The 25,017-nt window shown below is 41.3% G+C and overlaps 1 protein-coding gene and 1 pseudogene across 11 annotated transcripts in view, besides 4 other annotated features; both read right to left on the minus strand.

The window, feature by feature from the left end:
* FRMD5 (FERM domain containing 5) overlaps positions 1–25,017 on the minus strand; it is a 328,710-nt gene that overhangs the window by 98,871 nt on the left and 204,822 nt on the right. The window lies entirely within an intron of this gene.
* Positions 3,270–3,771: an enhancer, noted in NCBI's record as "NANOG hESC enhancer chr15:44265102-44265603 (GRCh37/hg19 assembly coordinates)". NCBI's record gives its function as "activates a minimal SCP1, AML or CMV promoter by ChIP-STARR-seq in primed H9 embryonic stem cells {active_cell/tissue: H9 hESC(primed)}" and the evidence as "EXISTENCE:reporter gene assay evidence [ECO:0000049][PMID:30033119]".
* Positions 5,318–5,367: a silencer, noted in NCBI's record as "silent region_6391". NCBI's record gives its function as "represses an Ori minimal core promoter by ATAC-STARR-seq in GM12878 lymphoblastoid cells {active_cell/tissue: GM12878}" and the evidence as "EXISTENCE:reporter gene assay evidence [ECO:0000049][PMID:35858748]".
* Positions 18,844–20,631, minus strand: ACTBP7 (ACTB pseudogene 7; annotated as a pseudogene).
* Positions 19,269–20,106: an enhancer, noted in NCBI's record as "H3K27ac-H3K4me1 hESC enhancer chr15:44281101-44281938 (GRCh37/hg19 assembly coordinates)". NCBI's record gives its function as "activates a minimal SCP1, AML or CMV promoter by ChIP-STARR-seq in primed H9 embryonic stem cells {active_cell/tissue: H9 hESC(primed)}" and the evidence as "EXISTENCE:reporter gene assay evidence [ECO:0000049][PMID:30033119]".
* Positions 20,107–20,943: an enhancer, noted in NCBI's record as "H3K27ac-H3K4me1 hESC enhancer chr15:44281939-44282775 (GRCh37/hg19 assembly coordinates)". NCBI's record gives its function as "activates a minimal SCP1, AML or CMV promoter by ChIP-STARR-seq in primed H9 embryonic stem cells {active_cell/tissue: H9 hESC(primed)}" and the evidence as "EXISTENCE:reporter gene assay evidence [ECO:0000049][PMID:30033119]".

Here is a 25,017-nt window from a genome sequence, read left to right on the forward strand (position 1 = left end):
AAAGACTGGAAGTTCTTATAAAGGACTCCTTTTAAACATCTTAGCCAATAAATAACAGCCCTGAGAGGACTGTACATTTCCTATAACCAAATCCATAAGACTTGCCAGACAGAACATACGCCTTTGAGGGCCTATACTAGTTAACTGGATAGTTTCCTTGTTAAGAAGAGATGAATGATACTATTCCTCTATCCTAAGATTTTCTGGAGGTAAGAACTATACTGGTTATAAATGTACTTTTATTGGAGTTACGGAATTTTATTTCTTCTGTGTTCTGGTATAAGCATCCTCTTCTCTCAGCACCCTGCCTCTCATTATGAAACCTGCCAACTGGCCACACAGAAAGTCAGCCATGAGAGTGTTCTGGCTGAGACACAAACTGCATTTGACAAAATGCAAATCACAAAAGGGAGGATAGAAGAAAAAGTGGGAACTGGATTTTGTGCTTAATTTTCTTCAACTACTATATTGTAATGTGATTGATGAACTAGATGGAGTTCTAAAATTAAAACTAGAACCAGGTGGAAGTTTCTTTTAAGATAAATCTCTATTCTCAGAAACATCAGAAGACAACCCAGGCTGCTGGCCTGACACTCATGGCCTAGCTACTGCCAGCATTTCTTGACAATTTACTCTTGTTAACTGCTCTGCACTTCTATTCTTTGTCTTTGAAATGTTCCTCTCCCAGCATTCTTTGGATTGGAGGCAGAAAAGGCTTAGAAGTTGAAAGCACTGCATCAAATGTTTTTTAGTTTATGCCCTCTCTCGCTTCAACATATATGGTATCTAGGGTAACATACTCTTCTTGGATGTAGCATTTTACCCCATTATTTCTTTGTTGCTGTTGTCGTTGTTGAGACAGTCTCGCTCTGTCACCCAGGCTGGAGTGCAGTGGTATGATCTTGGCTCACTGCAACCTCCACCTCCTGCCTCAGCCTCCTGAGGAGCTGGGATTACAGGTGTGTGACAGACACCACACTTGGCTAATTCTTTTGTACTTTTAGTAGAGGCAGGGTTTCGCCATGTTGGCCAGGCTGATCTCAAAGTCCTGCCCTCGAGTGATATGCCTTGGCCTCCCAAAGTGCTGGGATTACAGGCGTGAGCCACCGTACCTGCCATACCCCATCTATTTCTGAAGTTCATTTCCAAGAGCATTTCTTAGGTAAATGAGACGTCTTTTTCTCCAGCAGAATTTAATTGCACTCTGTTTGGGTAGCATATTATAGTAATATGATAAAAGAAATGAGAATGTAAAAGATGAAAATTTCATTGGTGAGTAAGCTGATGACAAGGTGGGAGGAAAAAATTCAGGCCCTTTAGAAATTTGAATTCTTGCCAGGTGTGGTGGTTCACACCTGTAATCCCAATGCTTTGGGAGGGCGAGGAAGGCGAATCACCTGGCCAACATGGTGAAACCTTGTCTCTACTAAAACAAAACAAAACAAAACAAAACAAAACATTGCTGGGCATGGTGGCAGGACTGTAAACCCAGCTACTCATCAGGCTGAGGCAGGAGAATCACTTGAACCCGGGAGGTGGAGGTTGCAGTGAGCTGAGAGCATGCCACTGCACTCCAGCCTGGTGACAGAGTATGACTCCACCTCACAAAAAAACAAAAAACAAAAAACAAAAACCAAAAAAACAAAAAATAAAAAATTTTCAAGGTGAAGAGAAGATCATTTTAAAATATTTGTTTTCTGTTATAAAAATAATACTATCCATAAACCTGTCCCTCAGAGAGTACATCTGCTACTATTTTTTCTTTTGTTCAAAAAAATTTCTGCCTGGTGCGGTGGCTCACCAGCACTTTGGGAGGCCAAGAGGGCGGATCACGAGGTCAGGAGTTCAAGACCAGCCTGATCAAGATGGCGAAACCCCATCTCTACTAAAAATACAAAAGTTAGCCAGGCATGGTGGCACGCATCTGTAATCCCAGCTACTCAGGAGGCTGATGCAGGAGAATCACTTGAACCCAGGAGGTGGAGGTTGCATCTAAAAAAAAAAAAAAAAGAGTTTCTATGCAATAGGGTTGAAATGACATTATATGCATAATTTTATATACTGTTTTTAAAACTTCGTTTTTTCTTCTTTTTTTGAGTTTCACTCTTGTTGCCCAGGCTGGAGTGCAATGGTGCAACCTCAGCTCACTGCAACCTCCATCTCCCGGGTTCAAGCGATTCTCCTGCCTCAGCCTCCCGAGTAGCTGGGATTACAGGCGCCCGCCACCACGCCTGGCTAATTTTTTGTATTTTTAGTAGAGACAGGGTTTAAAACTTCACATTTAAATATAAGGATTTTTCAGTCCAGGCATGGTGGCTCATGCCTATAATCCCAGCTCTTTGCCTGAGGTCAGGAGTTTGAGACCATCCTGGCCAACATAGCAAGACCTCATCTCTATTAAAAAAATATATATTTTTATATATTTATATACTTATATATAAATATATATATATATAAAGATTTTCAGTAGAAAATATTTTAATGGTGCTTAACCTCCAAAGAAAGATACAACAGGCACTGAATATGCCTCAGATGTAGCAGAGCTCACACCTTGTTATTAAGAGAGTTCATAGAGCATGGAAGACCAACCAACTCCATCTCTCTCTTATCCCCTCCTGCAGCACATCACACAACATCATGTGGGATGGGGTTAGGGAGGCCTTTAAATGCATCAATATATTAAAAAGCATATATAAGTTATTCTCCTTTGGGTTAAATGGAATTTGTTTGCTTGGATTTTCTTCACCTTACTTTATTGAGTTTTAATTAAATATAGCTGTGACCATAGACTAATGGACAATAAGATGTGGCAGGGGGTTAGCGGTTACTAATCTGATCTCTCACCTGATAAGAAAACCTTTCTATATCTAGTAGATCTGGGGCATCTTTGGGTGAACTATAAAAAGGTACCTCTTCCTCTGGGTAACCAATGCCAGGATACATGATGTAGTTACTGCAGCACTGGCTGGATTTCAGCCCCAGTTGCCCCCTTGGCCGGGTGCCCTTGTACAATAACTAACCTATACAACTGTACAGTCCTAATCTCAGGGCTATGGTTTTCTAGCCTCCACGTGCATGACAGAGAGCTCACCACCTCATACAGGTAGTCCCATTCACCTTTGAAGAGTTTTGTGGCAAGTTCTTAATAATAAGTAAGGTCTCCTAGGTAACTTCTAGTGTGCAACTTCTACCCACTGACCCTAGCTCTGCTTTCCGAAGGATAAGAGATCAACTCCACCCAGGCTTCTACATGATTGCTTTTCAGATATTTGATACTATCCTATCCCATGTCTTCCAAGTCTTCCCTTCCCCAGGCCGAATATCTAATTCTTATGACTGGATCATCATATGACTTCTTTCTAGATTTTAGTTAATATCCTTTTCTTGTTTTTCTTGTTTTTTTTTTGAGACGGAGTCTCGCTCTGTCCTCCAGGCTGGAGTGCAGTGGCGCGATCTCGGCTCACTGCAAGCACTGCCTCCCGGGTTCACGCCATTCTCCTGCCTCAGCCTCCCGAGTAGCTGGGACTACAGACGCCCGCCACCACGCCTGGCTAATTTTTTGTATTTTTAGTAGAGACGGGGTTTCACCATGTTAGCCAGGATGGTCTCGATCTCCTGACCTCATGATCCGCCTGCCTCGGCCTCCCAAAGTGCTGGGATTACAGGCGTGAGCCACCGCACCTGGCCGATTTTGGTTAATATCCTAGTTACTTTCTTGTTTGCTAATGCTAATGTTTTTTTTTTTTTTTGAGACAGAGTCTTGCTCTATCTCACAGGCTGGAGTGCAATGGCACGATATCTCCGCTCACTGGAACCTCCGCCTCCCAGGTTCAAGCGATTCTCCTGGTTCAGCCTCCTGAGTAGCTGGGATTACAGGTGCCCACCACCACACCCAGCTAGTTTTTGTATTTTTAGCAGAGACGGGGTTTCACCATGTTGGTCAGGCTGGTCTCGAACTCCTGACCCCAGATGATCCACCTGCCTTGGCCTCCCAAAGTGTTGGGATTACAGGTGTGAACCACTGCTCCTGGTCACTAATGTTCTTTAAGTCAGAAGATCATATTGAGCATGATACTCCAAATATACTGCAGCATTATAATACAGCTATTAAATCTTAATCTAAATGCTATATTTTCCTTAATACAACCCAAACCTCTATTTGGTTTTAGAGAAACTTATATACCATTGGCTTATATCCAATTTGCGGATATCTAGAATGCCATTTCAAACATTCTCCTACTAAGTCAGGCCTCCTCAATCTTCTACTTGTACAGTTTAACTGCTGGAACTAGATGCAGGATTTAGGCCTAGTAAATTTCTTCTTGTTGATTTTAGCCCACTGTTTCAGTATGTTAGGATCCCATTGAACATATCAAATTAACTTTTTTTTTTTTTTGAGGTTACTCCAAAAGGGATCAGCTTGATCTTGAAGTTACTCTACTGGGTGGAGACAAAGAGGCACTTTCAATGCAGAGTGCTAAGTGGAACAGTTGGAATCAGCAGTAGGGTGCTATGAAAGCACACAAGATGGTCCTCTAGTGAAAGTGAGAGGCAAGGAAGAAAACTTTCCCATGAGAATAAAAATCTCAGGTGACTCCTTAAGGGTGAATGAGAGTTTGCCAAATGAAAAGGGTCATGGAAAGCAATCTAGGAGGTGAACAGCTTGAGCAAGGATTTGGGATTACAGAAATTTCTGAATGCCAATATCTTTTAGTGTCTTTCCCTTTTTGGACTCCTATCCAGTTGTCCAGAAATTATGTGCTGCAGGTGCTCATTTAATTCTCTACTTATACTCTTCCTGGACAAGTTTCTATAGGTTAAGGCTGCTTGCTTTTTATGCCTTAGGATGGTCCCATTCCCGCATCTACCTTCCCTTTTCTTTCTTTGAGAAAGCATTGGAGTTAGTTAACTCCTACCTATACTCTGGCTTCTGTAAGCTTTTCTAAGAGAGGGCGGTGCCTTATCCATTTTGGTGATTCTGGTTCCTGACACAGTGCTTGGCACACCATAGGTATTTGACAAATGTTTAAAGTGTTGAAAAGCAAAATAACTATTCACAAATTCTAATATGCATAAACAATATTCTGAAAGATACAACCAGATTCATGTAGCTCTCTGACTTAGACATCACAGGAAGCCTACTTTGTAGCCAACAGAAATCAAAGGCTTCCTTTTTAATAAAAATGAAACAAAAATTTTTCAAGAATTTGTTACATGCAGATCCTTTTAATTGTTCAAAGCAGGTTCACAGAACACTGACTGGGGCTCTTGTGGCTTCTGACAATCATCTCCCAGAGTTGTTGAGCAATTTGCCAAGTTGCCTGTTGGCTCAAAGGTGAGAACCCCAGGCTACCTAAGCTCTGCCCAGTGATGCGGAATTGTCTCTCTCTTCTAATGTGCTCAGCTGGAACAGAATCGCAGAATGTCCAGAGCAGTGAACCATGAGGAATGAGAGCAGATTAGCTTAGCAAAAAGATAAACTAGGCATCGCCCAAGGGACATTGACAAGTGAGGTGACCTCATGCTTTGCTCTCAAATCAGAGTTCTCAAAAGTCATCTAAGCTAGAATATGCCAGGGAATACCAGAGCTTCCTATTGGCAGAAAGTAGGAGAGATAAAACTAACAAGGAATGAAAGATGTAAAGAGGTATTTGCCTCAATATCTAAATTACTATTTCAGAATTCAAGAGCCAAAAAAGAGAAACATCTCCACTATCAATAAAACAAACAAACACAAAATAGACGAAACATAAGAGACCATAAGATCACCCAGCAGAGATATTCTTGGCAAATAAAATGCCGGGCCAATATAAAAGCAATAGAGAAGAGGAAACCTGAAGGGCCAATAAACACTTGAAAGATGCTGGATTTCACTGGTCGTCAGCAGTGAAACCACAATGAGACACCACTTTACACACAAGTGATTAGCAAATATTTAAAACTCTAACAACTCAAGGAAAACAATAAGACGTTGCTGAGAGAAATGAAAGAAAACCTAAACAGAGGGATATATCATGTTTATAGGTTTCAAGATTCAAAATTGTTAACATGTCCATTCTCCCCAAATTGGTCTATAGAGTCAATGCAATCTCAATTAAAATCCCAGGAGGCTTTTTTTGTAGAAACTAGCAAATGAATTCTAAAATTCATGTGGCAATAAAAGGATCTAGAATATGCAAAACAAGTTTGCAAAAGAAGAACAAATTTGGAGGACTAATATGATCTAGATTCAAGATATTATAAAGCTACAATAACCAAGACAGTGTGGTACTGACACAAAGAAAGACAAATAGATCAACAGAACAGAATAAAGAGCCTATAAATAGACCCACACATGTTCATTTTCAACAAGGTGTAAAAGGGAATTCAGCAGAGAAAGGAAAGCCTTTTAAAGAAGTGGTGCTGGAACAGCGGGATATCTATGTGCTAAAAAAAAAAAAAGGGAGAGGGAGACTTCAATTCATACCTTGTTCCATATATTAAAAAAAAAAAAACTTAAAGTGGATCATAGACCAAAATGTACAACATAAAACAATAAAATTTATAGAAGAAAACATTTGTAACCTTGGATTAGGCAAATACTTCTTAAATATAACACCAAAAACACAACCCATAAAAAACAAATAAATGTCTACTCATAAAATAAATGGATATATTAGTCTTTATCAAAATTTAAAACTGCTTTTCAAAAGAAACTGTTGAGAGAACGACATGACATGCCAAGAACTAGGAGAAAATCTTTGCAAAGCATTTATCTGATGAAGGACTTGCATGTAGAATAAAAAGAACCCTCAACATTCCATAAAAAAACAAGCAACGCAATTTTTTTAAAAAGGCAAAAGATTTGAACAGACACTTTAACAAAGATATATATGGATGGTGTTAGGAAGAGTTTTAAAAGGAAGAAAGTGAGAGAGAAGGCAACTCAATGGCCAAACAGGTTTATTTACAAGAATAAGCCTGTGAGGCATCCCAGTCAGGAATCTGGCTGAGACCCTGATTGCTTACAAGCTGACGTTTTTATACTAAAGTTTCTTTTTTTTATTTTTGAGACGGAGTTTTGCTCTTGTCGCCCAAGCTGGAGTGCAATGGTGCGATCTCGGCTCACTGCAACCTCTGCCTTCCAGGTTCAAGTGATTCTCCTGCCTCAGTCTCCCAAGTAGCTGGGATTACAGGCATGTACTACCATGACCAACTTTTTTTTTTTTTTCTTTTGAGACAGAATCTTGCTCTGTTGCCAGGCTGGAGTGCAGTAGCGTGATTTCAGCTCACTGCAATCTCCGCCTCCTGGGTTCAAGTGATTCTCCTGCCTCAGCCTCTTGAGTAGCTGGGATTACAGGTGCATGCCACCACACCCAGCTAATTTTTTTTGCATTTTTAGTAGAAACAGGGTTTCACCATGTTAGCCAGTCTGGTCTTGAACTCCTGACCTCAGGCTATACAGCTGCCTCAGCCTCCCAAAGCGCTGGGATTACAGGTGTGAGCCACTGTGCCCAGCCTCATACTAAAGTTTCTATAGGGGAGGGGTTGGGGAAGTGCTAGCAGGTTGGAACTGCAGGGGGCTGGGGAAGGATGTGGTAAGGGCCAGGCTTTGTTGTGGTCAGGGTTGTTACTCTCTGTTAAGGTATGGGTGAGGTTGACCTTTGCTTTGTTTTTGGAAACACTGTCACTAAGGTAGGAAACACAGTCACCAAGGTGGAAAAATGGCATCACTATTGTTAATTCTCACATTCCCACCTCTTTGTATTATTATCATTTAGGAATAGGGATGTAGGTTCTCTTTGACTACTTCCTGCTCACTGGGGGTGGTGCATGGGGGAGGTGGCCTTCCTCTGGTGATGAGGTCATTCATTGTTGCTATAGCAGGAATGCCTCCTTGATGTGTTCCGTTATGGTGGTCTGAGCAACTGAGGTTACTCTTTCTAAAATAAACTTTTGAAAAAAATTTCATCAAGCAGGGTAAAAACATTAATATTAAGCAGATGACAATGAAAGGACCAATTAAAGGGAGTGCCCAATGGAGGAAATAACTGAAAAAGTCAGCAGGTTGTTTGGGCAGGCGTTCTGCAATTTTTCTGTTTGGATATTCCTTCTTTTACCAATCTAGATTTATTTGTAAAGAAACAGCATTTTCTTGCAGGAAGAGAAATAGGCCTCCCTCTTCTACAGTGAGGATATCTAGTCCCCTGCGATTTTGGAGTACTAACTGTTGCTAGGGAGTTTATCTGGTCAGCAAAGGTCAACCTCGCCCATACCTTTAACAGACAGTAACAACCCTGACTACAACAAAGACTGACTGGCCTTTACCACATCCTTCCCCTGCCCCCTACAGTTTCAACCTGCCAGCATATCCCCAACCCCTCCCCATAGAAACTTTATTATAAAAACTTTATTATAAAAACCTCCCTATAGAAACTTTATTATAAAAAAATAAATCAGGGTCTCAGCCAGATTCCTGACCGGGACCGCTTGCAGGCTTATTCTTGTAAATAAACCTGTTTGGCCGTTGAGTTGCCTTCTCTCTCACTTCCTTCCTTTTAAAAATCTTCCTAACAGCTGGCAAATAAGCAGATGAGAAGCAGCTCAATATCATTAGTCATTAGCAAAATACAAATGAGATACCACCACAAATACATACCATTACAAACACAAAAGAGATACAGCTACTGGAATGGCTAAAGTGAAAAAGACTGACCCTACCAAGTGTTGGCAAGCATTTGTGCAGGTACTAGAACTCTCATACATTGCTGGTGAGAATGTAAACATCATAATAATGGTTACTAATCAGGGAAAGAAGGGACTGCGATTGAGTTGGGGTACCTGGGCAGGGCTTCTAGAGTAGGTGGCAATGTTCTATTTCATGATCGAGGTGATGTTCACTTTATAATGATTAAGACGTACATTTGGTTAACATGATTTTCTGAGTCTCCATGTGTTTTTGTAATCAAAAAGATTCACCCAGGCTGGAGTGCAGTGGCGCAATATTGGCTCACTGCAACCTTCACCTCCCGGGTTCAAGTGATTCTCCTGCCTCAGCCTCCCAAGTAGCTGGGATTACAGGTACCCACCACCACATCCAGCTAGTTTTTGTATTTTTAGTAGAGACAGGGTTTCACCATTTTGGCCAGGCTGGTCTCGAACTCCTGACCTCAGGTGATCCACCCACCTCGGCTTCCCAAAGTGCTGGGATGACAGACATGAACCACCACACCCGGCCAAGTTTTCTTTTAAAACAAAAAGTTCTTTAGCCTTTACTCTGTTGGATAAATATAGATTTTTGCATGTTAAGTTTGCTTAAAGGAAGATGGAATTCTACTGGCAAAATACTGTCTCCTAAATCTCCAGTAAGTAAGCTTGTACTTTTGAGGACAACACTATTTTTGGCAATGTAGAAAATGCTTATAGAAAGGGTTCAATTTGTGGCTGGGCACAGTGGCTCATGTCTTTAATCTCAGCACTTTGGGAGGCCGAGGCGGGCTGATCACCTGAGGCCAGCAGTTCAAGACCAGCCTGGCCAACATGGCAAAACCCCATCTCTACCAAAAAAATACAAAATTAGCCAAGCGTCATGGCAGGTGCCTGTATCCCAGCTACTCAGGAGGCTGAGGCAGAACTGCTTGAACCTGGGAGGTGGAGATTACAGTGAGCGGAGATCACGCCATTGCACTCCAGCCTGGGCTATAAGAGTGAAACTCTGTCTCAAAAAAAAAAAAAAAGGGTTCAATTTGCTTCCCACAGCATGTTCGTCCACCTCCTATACCTCCACACTCTTATAGGCAGATATTGATCCATGGTTATTCAGATGCAAGGAAAGGCCACTAGAGTCCATTGTTGAGGCAAGGGACTGGGACTTGAACTCGGTCTTATAAGGCTTAAAAGTGGCAGTCTTTTCTGAGATTCAAAATATGTTATTCCTCATGAATTGGATGAGGGTCATGGAGGAAGGCCATTTGGAAATAACACATACATTACTGACCAAAAAGAAACATAGATAGCAATACACAAAACTATTGGATGATTTCTTTCTCTCCAGTTCAAAAGTCCAAATGAATTGTCATCAGGCATTAGTGGAGATACTCTGAATATTTTTATATATTTTCTGTTTCATAAAGAATTTCCAGAATGATTGTGCTTTACTTTTACCCACTGTTCTTCACAAATGATAGAAAAGCCTGGGAAGTGTCCCTGAATGGTTAAATAATGAGATAAAGCAGAATGTTTCTTACTTAAAAAAAATTAAAGAAGAAGCAACATAGAAGTCGGGCGATGCTGTGAAAATAAAGACTTGAAGAACAAAACCAACTCTAATTGGAGAACAGAGTATTTAAGGTAAAGGAACCAAGACATATTAGATTGTAGTTGAATTCCAAGACCAATGTGCTGCTCAGAATCCTAGATGTTCCATTTGAATTCCTCCTGTTTTTGCTTCGAAATACTAGTCTATAAATCTAATTGATTGTAAGTGTGATTTCCCTAGATGCTTGTTTACTCGTTTAATGTAGTATTATGTTGCTTTTAATAAGGTATTCAGGCCCTATAAAGTATGCTTCCAAAAAAATCAAAAGCTACACTTGAGTGCTTCTCTAATAAAATCTACCTCTGCTTAAATATAGGTAGAACCTCAACTATGCCAGCTTTTCTAATAGGGGACTGTCCCACTCCTGCAGAAGTCCTTCAGTAACTGAGAATGCTGGTGGGGTGTGGGGAGATATCCTTAACATCATTGCTATTAGAAAGTTAGTACTAGGGAAAATAACTCAGCATTTCTAACACAATATCCTCCATTAAGCCTTCAAACAAACATTTCCTTATTTACCTCCTAAAGTCTTTTCTGCTACCATTTAAGTCATTTGATCTTTAGATGCTTTCTTGCCTCTGATTTTAATGAGAAGCTGGCCCTTGGTTCTCTTTCAATACTCCCTGGCTTGTGGTGCTAGATCTTTCTACTCTTGACACCATTCTTGTCTCTTGACAATTTTCCCTCAATTGAAAGATATGAAACTGAGTATCACTGAAAATTTAAATACCCAAACCACACATCTGAAATCTGATTTTTTTTATCTTAAAGCTGGTCCCAGTTGGAGGTAGCCTAGGAGACCGAAAATACATGTTATTTAATGAAGGAGAATATTTCAGTAAAGTTAAAGCTGGGCTTATTTTGGCCAGACACAGTGGGTTGTGGGTGCTGCTCATTTTTGTGTATTCATTATACAATTGACCCTTGAACAATGCAGGAGTTAGGGTACTGACCCCCTCCCACCAGGTACAGTAAAAAATCTACCTATAAAATTGTGACTCCTCTAAAACTTAACTACTAACAGCTTACTGTGGACCAGAAGGCTTACTGATAACATAGTCAATTTAACACAGACACACAAACACACACACATACACATTTTGAGACAGAATTTCACTCTGTTGCCCAGGCTGGAGTGCAGTGATGTGATCGTCACTCACTGCAGCCTCTGTCTCCCGGGTTCAAGTGATCTTCATGCCTCAGCCTCCCAAGTAGCTGGGGTTTCACCATGTTGGCCAGGCTGGTCTCAACCTCCTGGCCTCAAGTGATCCATCCACATTGGCTTCCCAAAGTGCTGGGATTACAGGCGTGAACCACCTCACCTTAACACATATTTTGTATGTTGTATGTGTGACATCCTGTATTCTTACAATAAATTAGAGAAAAAAAAATTATTAAGAAAACCACAAGGAAGAGGAAATATATTTACTATTCATTTAGTGTAAATGGATTATCATAAAGGTCTTTATCCTTGTCTTCATGTTGAGTAGGCTGAAGAGGAGGAGGAAAAGGGGTTGGTCTTACTGTCTTGGGAGTAGCAGAGATGGAAGAGGTAGAGGAGGTGGAAGGAGAGGCAGGAGAAGCCAACACACTTGGTGTAACTTTATGGAAATACATTGTAATTTTTGATTTTTTTGCTTTTTCATTTCTCTAAAAATGTTTCTATATGGTACCAATTCTTCTTCCACCTTTTGCTTTAGTTTCAGTGCCCATATCATAGAAGGATCCACATCATAAAAGAAGTCAAAAGCATTCTTGAATAATTAGAAACCTTCTGCTAGATGGTCTCATGTCAATTTGCTTTCTGGCACTGCTTCTTCTACATCTTCTTCCTCATTGTTTAGCACTGATTCAGAAGCACTCATCTCCATCGAGTTGTCTTCTGTGAAATTCTCAGGTGTGGTGTCTGTTAACTCTTGCAGTTCTCCAAGATCCATGTTTTAAACCTTTAAACCTCTACCCTCTCCCCCACTTTTCTGCCATATCTACAATCTCTTTCATGATTTATTTGATTAGCTCTGTCATAAATCCTGTGAAGTCACGTACAACACCTGGATACAGTTTTCTCCAGCAGGAATTTATTACTTGGAGCTTGATGGCTCTCATGACTTTTTCTATAATGATGGCATCTCCAATGCTGTAATCCTTCCAGACTTTCATGATGTTCTCTCTATTGGGGTTCTCGTCCATAGGGTTGACATCCTTCCATACAGTTCTGTGTGAAATGAGCCTTAAAGGTCCTTATGATTCCCTGACCTAGAGGCTGAATTAGAGATGTTGTGTTTCGGGGCAAGTAGACCACTTCGATGTCTTTGGTGTTGAACTCATGGGGTTCTGGGTTGCCAGGGGCATTGTCTGATATCAGAAGAACTTTAAAAGGCAGTCCTTTACTAGCAAGGTGCTTCTTGACATCAAGGACAAAACATCAATGGAATCAATCCAGTAAAAGGATTCTTGTTGTCCAGGTCTTCTTTTTGTAAAACCCAAAGCCTGGCAGCTGGTGTTTTTTTTCACTTTAACGCTTGAGGGTTAGCAGCTATACAGATAAAGGCAGTCCTGATCATAAACTCAACTGCATTTGTACAAAACAGTAGAGTTAGCTTATCCTTTCCTGCCTTAAATCTTGGTGCTCACTTCCTTACTAAGAAGTGTCCTTTGTGGCATTTTTCCCCCAGAATAGGGCACTTTCATCTGCATTAAGAATTCAATTTTTATACTTCATTAGGGGAGAAATGGAACTTTAGCAGTCCTACCAAGAAGTTTTTAAAGAACACATTGGGTCTTTATAAACTGTATTTTTAAAGTTTTTTTTCTAAAGATAGAAAATGAAAATAATTACCTAAAATAGACCTCTGATATGGTTTCCAAAGAACAGAAGGTATCTTTTTTAAATCAGGGTATGAGACTTGCTGTAAAATATTTATTGATGCTAATGTGAACCTTCAGTTGGAAAGAAAAAACTAGGTAGTCACTTGCAAACTAAATTTCCCCAGGTATCTTTTTTCCAATCTTTTTTTGAGATGGAATCTCACTCTGTCACCCAGGCTGGAGTACAGTGGTGTGATCTTGGCTCACTGCAACCTCCACTTCCCGGGGTCAAGTGATTCTCCTGCCTCAGCCTCCTAAGTAGCTGGGATTACAGGCATGTGCCATCACATCTGGCTAATTTTTGTATTTTTAGTAGAGATAGGGTTTCACTGTGTTGGTCAGACTGGTCTCAAACTCCTGACCTCAAGTGATCCACCAGCCTCAGCCTCCCAAAGTGTTGGGATTACAGGTGTCAGCCACCATGCCTGGCCCCAATCTTCTAATTTTTAAAGATACTCTTTCCCTTCTCTTTACTCTGAGATCTAATGTATCTATACATAAGCAAACTAGGTGCTTTATATACATTTTTGTCCCAGCCTTCAGTGTAAACCTTAACTTAAATCATTAATGGAGACTTTTCTGGCACCCTAAGTTGAAAAGTTATAATGGGGAGGCTGTGAGGATTTTTTTTCAGCCCTTGGACCATTATTTACACTAGTTTCCTTGATCTGGTTTCCTCAGCTATAAAAATACAGTCCTGTCTCCTCCAAAAGTCTGTTATCGCCAGCAAGATTCACAACTGCCAAATCACCCAGGATTTTGTATTTCATTTAAGAAGTCTGACAATGCTTTTATGCACAATATGATACAGCCAAAACCACATTTACCTGGGAATCAGGAAACCTGAGCTCTAGTCTAAATCTAGCCCTAAACAAACTGTGCAACTGTAGCTAAGTTCGTTGACCACTTGGGGTCTCAGCAGAGAAAACAAAAATTTTGGAATCAGAATTGAAGCAGGAGAGTACTAAGGTCCTCCCCCCATCCACCGTCTCCACCTCTGGCTCTAAAATGTCATGTCACTGTGAAATGCTCTTTCATCTTCAGGGGCCTAGTGAGAGGCCAGGGTCCCAGGCAGCAAGTGCTAGAGAAAATGTAAGGACAATTTATAAAGAAGTCCCTTGATCTCAGTTTCCCTGAACTATGCAGCTCTTCAGTCTTTAAAATGGCTACAAGACACATTAGCATTTCAAACACTGCTGTTGCCTGTGACAGGTGAACTCAGGGAGATTAGGAAGTAGCAAAATTCTGTTTTTGTTTTTCTTCAAGCCAGAATGGGTATGTAAGCATTAACGTTGCTATTATACATACTATTCAACATTCCCCATTCATTTTTCATGAACTTACACAACATATCAAAGGGATGATGCTCTACTCCTTAGTGCGTCTCTCAGAATTACAGGCAGACTCATTTCACTCTGTCAGCAAACCTGAAGGCCAGAGTCTTCAGTTGTGAGAATATCTTATGCAAATAGAAAAAGCTTTACAGAATAGTATATTCAACCCCTACCCAAACCCGCATCCCCATCTTCTCCTCTATACACTGCCTCCGGAAACAAGCACTGTGTGCACAAGTCAAACAGATACCTAAGCCCCCAGTGGACAGCAGCTTAGGCACCAGTGGGCAGGCACAGAGCAGGCAGAGGGTAAGCACTGGAGCAGGACTGGATTAAGGCCTCCAGAGCTGCTCCAGGCCTCCATAGCTCCTACTACCTCAACAATCCTTGTCACAACTGCTTTCCCATTCACTACAGAGAAACTTACTTGAGCATCTCTCTTCAGATATTATTGCACAGATTCACACAGAAAAAGAAAATCACCACAGGAGAGTTTGAAAAAGATGATGATGAACGACTTTGATTGTATCCCACAGGATGGAAATTAGGTTGAAAGACTGGGAGTTTGGGGTGGGCGCAGTGGCTCACGCCTGTAATCCCAACGCCTTGGGAGGCCGAGGTGGGTGGATCACTTGAGGTCAGGAGTTCAAGACTAGCCTGGCCAACATGGTGAAATCCTGTCTCTACCAAAAATATAAAAATTAGCCAGGCATGGTGGCATACACCTGTAATCCCAGCTACTCGGGAGGCTGAGGTGGGAGAATCGCTTGAACCTGGGAGGTGGAGGTTGCAGTGAGCCGAGATCGCGCCACTGCACCCCAAACTGGGCGACAGAACAACTCTGTCTAGAAAAAAAAAAAAACAAGGCCGGGCACGGTGGCTCACGCCTGTAATTTCAGCACTTTGGGAGGCCAAGGCAGGCAGATCACGAGGTCAGGAGATCAAGACCATCCCGGCTAACATGGTGAAACCCCATCTCTATTAAAAATACAAAAAAATTAGCCTGGTGTGGTGGCAGGTGCCTGTAGTCCCAGCTACTTGGGAGGCTGAGGCAGAAGAATGGCGTGAACCTGGGAGGCGGAGCTTGCAGTGAGCCGAGATCGGACCACTGCATTTCAGCCTGGGCAACAGAGCGAGACTCCGTCTCAAAAAAAAAAAAAAAAAAAAAAAAGATTGGGCGTTTGGAACCATCAGTTCTAGTTCCTACTCTGCTTGTAACTGGGAAGCCATGGGCAAGTCATCTGGCAACTCTGGACCTTAGTTCTCTCACTTATAAAATGAGTAGGTTTGACAAGACAATCTCTAGTATATTTGTCAGATCTAAACTTCTAGTAGTCTATAGTAAGATTACTAAGAACCAGGAAAGCATGGTTTATATTATAAATCAAACTTGGCTATAATATGGAGAACATTTAAATATATAGATTCTGAGGCCCCACCCAGGACCTTTACAGAGTCCCTTACACAACTGACTGGACCATATGACCAAAGGATAAGGATGAGCTGGCTGGGTGAACCTGTGCTGGTATTCAGGAATTGACATTCTGTGCGGATAAGTATTCACATTAATGAATGGAGAAATGTCTATTTAATTTGCAAACGATCACAAGCTAGCGGGGCAAATCAGTATTTCAAACAAACTTAGAGATTGAAGGAATGGTCAGAAGCCAAGAGCATAAATGTCAGAGAGGAAAGATCAAAGGTATTGCCCCTGGAGGAGAAAGAGAAACTTCACTAAGATGAAGTTAGTAAGGCATATATACCAGAAAAAGATCTGAATGTCAGAGTAGATAACTGACCAGGAATCAGAAAATTAGCAGTGGGCCTGAAGGAATGCAGGAATTGACTGAGGTTGTCCTCACTTTGCATGGTTCTTAGATGAAAGAATGTCAGTCCCCAAACAACAGGGTTGAAATTTCAGTTGCCATGGTTTATTAACTGTGAGTAATTACATGAAGTACAAACTTGATTGCTAGCTCTTCAGTTCACAACATAAATAACAGATGTGTATCACGATCAGTGACAAATCACGTCACTTCTTTCACAGTCTGTCGGTGACTAGTCACTGTGCATCTGTTATTCAGTTAATGCACAAACAACAAAGTGTGCGGTGGGGTTGCCTCCTTGTCTTCCAATGATGAAACCCAAAAATGATAACTGAAAGAGGGAACTGGCTAACGAAGATGAAAATGCAGCAAAGTAACAAAAAGTGGTAACAGGAATGTAAATAGGGTTATAGAAGAAATAGCTAACTGTGAGATTATTGACATTGCTGCTATTTAAGGGACTCTAGATATGCACCAGAGGAACTTAGTGAAGGCAAACTAATCAATGTAAATGAGGAAAGTGGTTGTGACGAAACGTATGAAGATGTCCCAGAGGAAGTGATGCTGGCAAAAACTTCACATTAAAGAAACTCTTGCAGATATTTCATGACACTGAAAGCACAAAGTGTAAAATATTGGAAGCTCATCCAAACTTAGAAGGGAGTATGATGACAATTCACCAAGGCACAGAAAAGATGTTTTCTCAGTATCATAAACTATATGACAAAAAGGAGGCAAGTACTGTTAAAGTACTTGGGATTTTTTTTTTTTATAAATACGGACATACCTGGTTTTATTGTGCTTCACTTCATTGTGCTTTGTAGATATTGTGGGGTTTTTGTTTTTTTTTTAAATAAATTCAAGATTTGTAGCAAGCCTGCATTGAGCAAGTCTTTCAGCACCATTTTTCCAACAGCATGTGCTCATTTTGTGTCTCTGTTGCATTTTGTTAATTCTTGCAATATTTCAAACTTTTTCATTATTATATGTTATGTTAATCTGTGATCAGTGATCTTTGATGTTACTATTGCAATTGTTTTGAGGTGCCATGAACCACACACATAGAAGACAGTGAACATAACCAATAAATGTGTGTGTCCTAACTGCTCCACTGACAGGGTATTCCTCCATTTCCCTCCCTCTCTTCAGGCTTTCCTATTCCCCCAGACACCACAATATGAGGAAATTAAGCCAATTAATAACCCTACTACGGCCTCTAAGTGTTCAAGTGAAAGGAAGAGTCACATGTCTCTAACTTTAAATCAAAACCTAGAAATGATTAAGCTTAATGAGAAAAACATGTTGAAAGGCCAAAAACTAGGCATCTTGTGCCAGTTAGCCAAGTTGTGAATGCAAAGAAAAAGATCTTGATGGATATTCAAAGTGCTACTCCAGTGAACACATGAATGGTAAAGTGAAAGAGCCTTCTTGCTGATATGGAGAAAGTTTTAATGGTCTAGATAGAACAGCGGTCCTCAACCTTTTTGGCACCAGGGACCAGTTTTGTGGAAGACAATTTTTCCACGGACCAGGTTGCAGGGGGTTTCGGGATGATTCCAGCACATTACAGTTATTGGGCACTTTATTTCTATTATTACTTTTTTTGTTTTTTTGAGACGGAGTCTTGCTCTGTCACCCAAGCTAGAGTGGTGTGATCTTGGCTCACTGTAACCTCAGCCTCCTGGGTTCAAGTGATTCTCCTGCCTCAGCCTCCCAAGTAGCTGGGACTATAGGCATGCATCACCACGCCTGGCTAATTTTTGTATTTTTAGTAGAGATGGGGTTTCACCATGCTGGCAAGGCTAGTCTCAAACTCCTGACCTTAAGTGATCCCACCTGCCTCGGCCTCCCAACATGCTGGGATTACAGGTGTGAACCACCATGCCCAACCTATTATTACATTGTAATATATAATGAAATAATTATAAATTCACCATAATGTAGAATCAGTGGGAGCCCTGAGCTGCTTGTTTTCCTGCAATTATATAGTCCCATCTGGGGGTCATGGGAGACAGTGACAGATCATCAAGAACTAGATTCTCATAAGGAGCATGCAATCCAGATCCCTCATGTGCACAGTTCACAATGGGGTTCATGCTCCTATGAGAATCTAATGCTGCTGCTGATCTGACAGGAGGTGGAACTCAGGTGGTAATACAAGTGATGGGGAGCGGCTGTAAATACAGATGAAGCTTCTCTTGCCCCCCCACCACTCACCTCCTGCTGTGTGGCCTGGTCTGTGGCCTGGGGGTTGAGGACCCCTGGACAGAAGATCAAACTAGCCACAACATTCCCTTAAGCCAAAACCTAATACAGAGCAAGGTCTCCAGAATTGAGGCAAGACCCTTTTGCAGCAAAAAGATTACTACTCACTGAAGGCTCAGATGGTCATTAGCACTTTTTTTTTTTTTTAGCAACGAAGTGTTTTTTAAGGAAGGTATGTGCATTGTTTTTTTAGACATATGCTACTGCACAATGAATAGACTACAGTATAGTGGAAACATAAGTGTTTTTTTTATAAGGCATGCACTTTTATTCAACTGGTCTCAAGTCAGTGTACAGGTATGCCCTGGCTACCTCCACCCACTCCCAACTCCCAGGGAGACAAAAAGCCTTCATACATCTCAAGTTGGGGGACAAAAAAGTGGGGCCATGAAAGCTGATCATTCAAAATAAAACAAAATAAAGAAGTATTAAGGCAAAGATTAAAAAAAGTTGTATTACATAATTTACATGAAAGCAATGCTATCACCTCCCCTGTGTGGACACGGGAGAGGACTGGGCCATTCTCCTTAGAGAGAAGTGGGGTAGCTTGTAGGAGGGCAAGGTACTTCCTGTAACAACACATCTCACGATATTTGGAATGACTATTAAAAAAAGAACAATGTACAATGAAAGTCCCTGGCCACACTGTAGAACTCTGGGGGATGCTCACTCCAACCAACTGCTGTCACCTTCACCATTCCAGTTTTTAAATCCTGAGTCGAGCCAAACAAAACAAAACAAAATAAAAAAAACAAAGTCATGCCAATCTCATCTTGTTTTCTGCGCAAGTTAGGTTTTGTCAAGAAAGGGTGTAACGCAACTAAGTCACAGTCCGCCTAGAAGCATCTGCGGTGGATGATGGAGGTGCCTGACTCATCATATTCCTGCTTGCTGATCCACATCTGCTGGACGGTGGACAGCCAGGCCAGGATGGAGCTGCCGATCCACACGGAGTACTTGCGCTTGGGAGGAGCAGTGATCTTGATCTTCATTGTGCTGGGCGCCAGGGTGGTGATCTTCTGCATCCTATCGGCGATGCCAGGGTACCTGGTGGTGCCGCCAGATAGCACTGTGTTGGCATACGGGTCTTTGAGGATGTCCACATCACACTTCATGATGGAGTTGAAGGTAGTTTCATGGATGCCGCGGGATTCCATGCCCAGGAAGGAAGGCTGGAAGAGCGCCTCAGGGCAGCAGAACTGCTTTTGCCGATGATGATGACCTGGCCGTCGGGCAGCTTGTAGCTATCTCCAGGGAGGAGCTGGAGGCCACCATGGCCATCTCCTGCTCGAAGTCCAGGGTGACATAGCACAGCTTCTCCTTGATGTCATGCACAATTTCCCGCTTGGCTGTGGCGGTGAAGATGTAGCTGTGCTAGGTGAGGACCTTCATGAGGTAGTCAGTCAGGTCCTGACCAGCCAGGCACACACGCAGGATGGCATGGGGGAGGGCATACTCTTCATAGATGGGCACAGTGTGGGTGACCCCGTCATCGTAGTCCATCACGATGTCAGTGGTAGGCCAGAGGTGTACAGGGACAGCACGGCCTGGATGGCCACGTACATGGCTGGCCTGTCGAAGATCTCCAACATGATCTGGGTCATCTTCTTGTGGTTGGCCTTGGGGCTCAGGGGGACCTTGGTCAGCAGCATGGGGTGCTCCTTGGCAGCCACACACAGCTCGTTGTAGAAGGTGTGGTGCCAGATCTTCTCCATGTCGTCCCAGGTGGTGACAATGTCCTGCTTGATGGGGTACTTCAGGGTCAGGATGCCTCTCTTGCTCTGGACCTCGTTGCCCACATAGGAGTCCTTCTGACCCATGCCCACCGTCACGCCCTGGTGTCTGGGGCGCCCCACAATGAAGGGGAAGATGGCCCGGGGTGGGCATCGTCACCTGCAAAGCTGGCCTTGCACATGCCAGAGCCATTGTCGACGACAAGCATGGTGATATCATCATCCATGGTGAGCTGGCGGCGGGTGTGGACGGGTGGCAGAGAGGCGAGGGCAAGGCTCTGTGCTCGCAGGGTGGACACGGTCTCAGCAGAAACATAAGTTTTATATGCACTGGGAAACCAAAATATTTGTCTGACTTTGCTTTTTTGTGATATTTGCTTTTTGCAATAGTCTGGAATCAAACCTGCAATATCTCTGAGGTATGCCTATAAATAAAATTTCTTTTCTCATTATTTATAATGTTTTAAATTACAGCTTACTAACATTAGTTTTACTATGTTTTTTCATTTCTCTATACATTTATAACCAATAGAAATAGAGTTTCAAATGTTTTGACACACATTTATGTATCACAAATTTTCTCATTGATTATTAAGATCATATAGAGTCAGCTAGCATGGTAATTTTTGGTCTCACATTAGTGTGCAAAGCAAAAACTACAAGTATTTAGGAACACGAGGTGAGTTTTTCACTGTACTAAGTACTCATCAGATATTTCTACAGCACTGGGTCCTGTTTAAGCTTTACAGCCAAAGATTGCCATGGAAAATGAAGAGAAGATAATAATAACAGGTAAGAGACTAAAAAAACTGGCCATAGAAAAACTGTTTAAGGAACTTGATAGATTTTAGCCACTGAAAAGACAGTTGAAGTGGTAATTTAACTATGGCTGATCTTCAATGACTTTTACATAAGGGATACCGACTAGTCATTATACATCTCTATAGATGACTGAACAAACAAAAACCAATTTTAACTGGAACATGATGGATTTGGGTTAACTTAAAAATGAACTTACAGTGAAAGAGGTACTATATATCAGAACAGATTTCAAAGAGAGCTCTGTAATTTTCTTTCTGCAAGTCCTAAAATGAAAAATTAGTTCTTATCCAATTAGAATGGTTTAAGTTTTGAAAACAGGCAAGGGAAGATGGACTGTATGACCTGTACAGGTCTCTGCCAGAGTTAAGATGCTGTGATTTTTATCATTGTAGAACTGTATTTTACCCGAAGCTGCCAATTATTTTTGAGCACTGTACTTAAATTGTTCTTTGCTTTGCACATTCAGCTCCCTTTCTCCCAGATCCTCTCCAGCTAAAGGGCATTAGATTATGGAGTGGAACTCTGATGGGAAAGGAAAGCTGCAGAACAATCCTTTTTTCTGTGAGGCTCTGTGATGGGGACTGCAGTGGCTTTGATGTACGCAGCTCCCACAGCATCGGTGCATCCATACACATGAGCCCTGAATGCCTGGGACAGGTCTTTGCTGCTGCTGCTACTGCTGCTGCTGCATTCTGTGCCCTCAGACAGTACTGCTCCAGAGCACCTGCCTGGGTTTGAAATATGGATATTCATTATAAAAATCCATAAATTCATTGCCAAATTGGGCATATTAACACCCTCCCAGGACAAGGCATTTACAGGGAGGACAAATATTGACCTTTTGATCTGTCTTTGGTGCTGATAATTCTTGAACATTAAACTAGACAGTTCTTGCCACAAAAAATCCACAATCTCGTCTCTATTAAAAATCATCAGGCCTACCAGGTAAGGGATTGATATTTTCAAACAGGGCACTGATGTGTTCTCCATTCTCCTGTTTTCTCAACTCCATTTACGTATTAGCTCTGCTAAACTCGAATCTTGGTCCAACATTCTTTGGAGATGGCTCAATAATAAAATCTCTAACACAGCGCAGTGTCCTAGCCCTGCATCCTTTTACTAATTAGTAGGTTTCCAGAAGAAAACCATGTGTCAGAAAAAATCCAAACCCTGAATGCTGATAGCTCCCAGCAAGATGAAGTATGAGAGAAACAGAAACTCTTTAAACTATAAGTTATTTGACGATAAGGTATCTTCTATTAAAAAAATACTACTAGGAATATTTGCTTTCTACTATAATTCTGGCTTTGAAAATAATAAAGTTGGCTTTAGAAATAGAGACTACAAATATTCTCCACTAATGAGTCTCACAGCAGAAATGAAATTTGTTCTTTAATCAAACTTCCAGTTGGAGATTGTTCTGAGTTTGTTTTTGTTTTGTTTTAATCTGACGTGGAGTTTTAGACTTGAGAATTGTCTCTATAGCAAAAATGTAAAGTATTGGTTGGTGGTTGGGCATTCCTGAATATGTCCAAATATTTACTGATGAGAAGGTTGTAAATTCTTTTTTTTTTTTTTTGCAAGGGACTGGAGTTTTATATTTATTTTTATTTTTTTGAGATGGAGTCTTGCTCTGTTGCCCAGGCTGGAGAGCCGTGGTGCGATATCAGCTCACTGCAACCTCTGCCTCTGGGTTCAAACAATTCTCCTGCCTCAGCCTCCTGAGTAGCTGGGACTACAGGTGCATGCTACTATGCCCAGCTAATTTTTGTATTTTTAGTAGAGACAGGGTTTCACCACATTGGCCAGACTGGTCTCGAACTCCTGATCTCAGGTGACCCACCTGCCTTGGCCGCCCAAAACGCTGGGATTACAGGTGTGAGCCGCTGCACCCGGCTGGACTGGAGTTTTATTATTACTCAAATCAGTCTCCAATTCTTATTTTATTTTTAGAGATGGGGTATTCCTCTGCCCAGGCTGGAGTACAATGGCATGGTCATTGCTCGTTGTAACCTCAAACTCAGGCTCAAGTGGTCCTCCTGTCTCAGCCTCCCAAAGCACTGGGATTACAGGCATGAGACAATGGGCACTTTTTCTTTTTTTGATGTAGATGTTTATTGCTACAAACTCACCCCTTAGCACTGCTTTTGGTGCATTCCATAAGTTTTGGTATTTTGTATTCTATTTTTGTCTCAAGATATTTTAAAAGTTCCCTTTTAACTTCTTGACCTATTTGTTGTTTAGAAGCATGTTGTTTAATTTCCATATATTTGGAAATTTTCTAAAATTCCTCCAGTTCTTAACTTCTAGTTTCATACTTTGGTGGGCAGAAAAGATATTTGATATGATTTCAATCTTCTTAAACTCATTTAAATTTATTTAGACTTGTTTTGTGCTCTAACATAATAGTTTTTTTGTTTTGTTTTGTTTTTGGGATGGAGTCTCATTCTGTTGCCAGGCTGGAATGCAGTGGCACGATCTCGGCTCACTGCAACCTGGAACTCCCAGGTTCAAGCAATTCTCCTGCCTCAGCCTCCCGAGTAGCTGGGACTACAGGTGCGTGCCACCATGCCCGGCTAATTTTTTTGTATTTTTAGTAGAGACAAGGTTTCACCTTGTTGGCCAGGTTGGTCTCAATCTCTTGACCTCGTGATCCGCCCGCCTTGGCCTCCCAAAGTGCTGGAATTACAGGCGTGAGCCACTGCATCTGGCCCTAATATATTATTTACCCTGGAGAATGTTCCATGTGTGCTAGAGAAGAATGTATATGATGTTGCTGCTGGATGCAATGTTCTGTATATGTCTGTTAGGTCCATTCGATGTAAAGTACAGTTTAAGTCCAATGCTTCCTTATTGATTTTTTTTGTCTGGATGAAATGTCCATTGCTTAAAGTTGGGTATCAAAGTCCCCTACTATTATTGTGTTGCGATCTATCTCTCCCTTCAAGTCCTTTAATATTTGTTTAATATACTTAGGTGCTCCAGTGTTGGTGCATCTATATGTATAATTGTTATAGTCTCTTGATGAACTGACCTCCTTATCTTTATATAATGACCTTGTCTCATTTTACAGCTTTTGACTTAAAGTCTATTTTATCTGACATAAGAATAGTTACCCCTGCTTTCTTTTGATTTCTATTTGCATGGAATATGTTTTGCCGTCCTTTTACTTTCAATCTATGTGTGTCCTTAATGGTGAAATGAGTGTCTTGTAGGAAGCATATAGTTGGGTCTTGTTTTTTAAATTAATTCAACCATTCCATGCCTTCTGATTAGAGAATTTAATCCATTTACATTCAAAGTAATTATTGATAGGTAGGGACTTACTATTGCCATTTTGTTAGTTGTTTTCTGATTGTTTTGTGGATCCTTTTTTCCTTCTTCTCTTGCTATCTTCCTTTGTGATTTATTTTCTCTAGTGTTAGGCTTTGATTCCTTACTTTTTATTTTTTGTGAATCTACTATAGGCTTTTGTTTTGTGGTTACCATGAGGCTTACACAGAACATCTTATAGTTATAACAGGCCATTTTAAACTGGTAACAACTTTGAATGCGTAAAAAAACTCAATACTTTTACTCTACCTGCCCCTCATATTATGCTTTTACTATCAACATTTACATCTTTTTATATTGTGTATTCATTAATCAATTATTATAGCTATTATTATTTTTATTTTACTTTTCTGAGAGAAGGTCTCATTCTGTTGCCCAGCCTGGAGTTCAATGGTGCAATACTGGCCTCCCAGGTTCAACTGATTCTCCTACCTCAGCCTCCTGCGTAGCTGGTACTACAGGCACATGCCACCACACCCAGCTAATTTTTTTATTTTTTGGTAGAGATGGGGTTTTACCATGTTGGCCAGGCTGGTCTC

This window comes from Homo sapiens, chromosome 15 (genome assembly GCF_000001405.40).
Source record: "Homo sapiens chromosome 15, GRCh38.p14 Primary Assembly".
Taxonomy (NCBI): domain Eukaryota; kingdom Metazoa; phylum Chordata; class Mammalia; order Primates; family Hominidae; genus Homo; species Homo sapiens.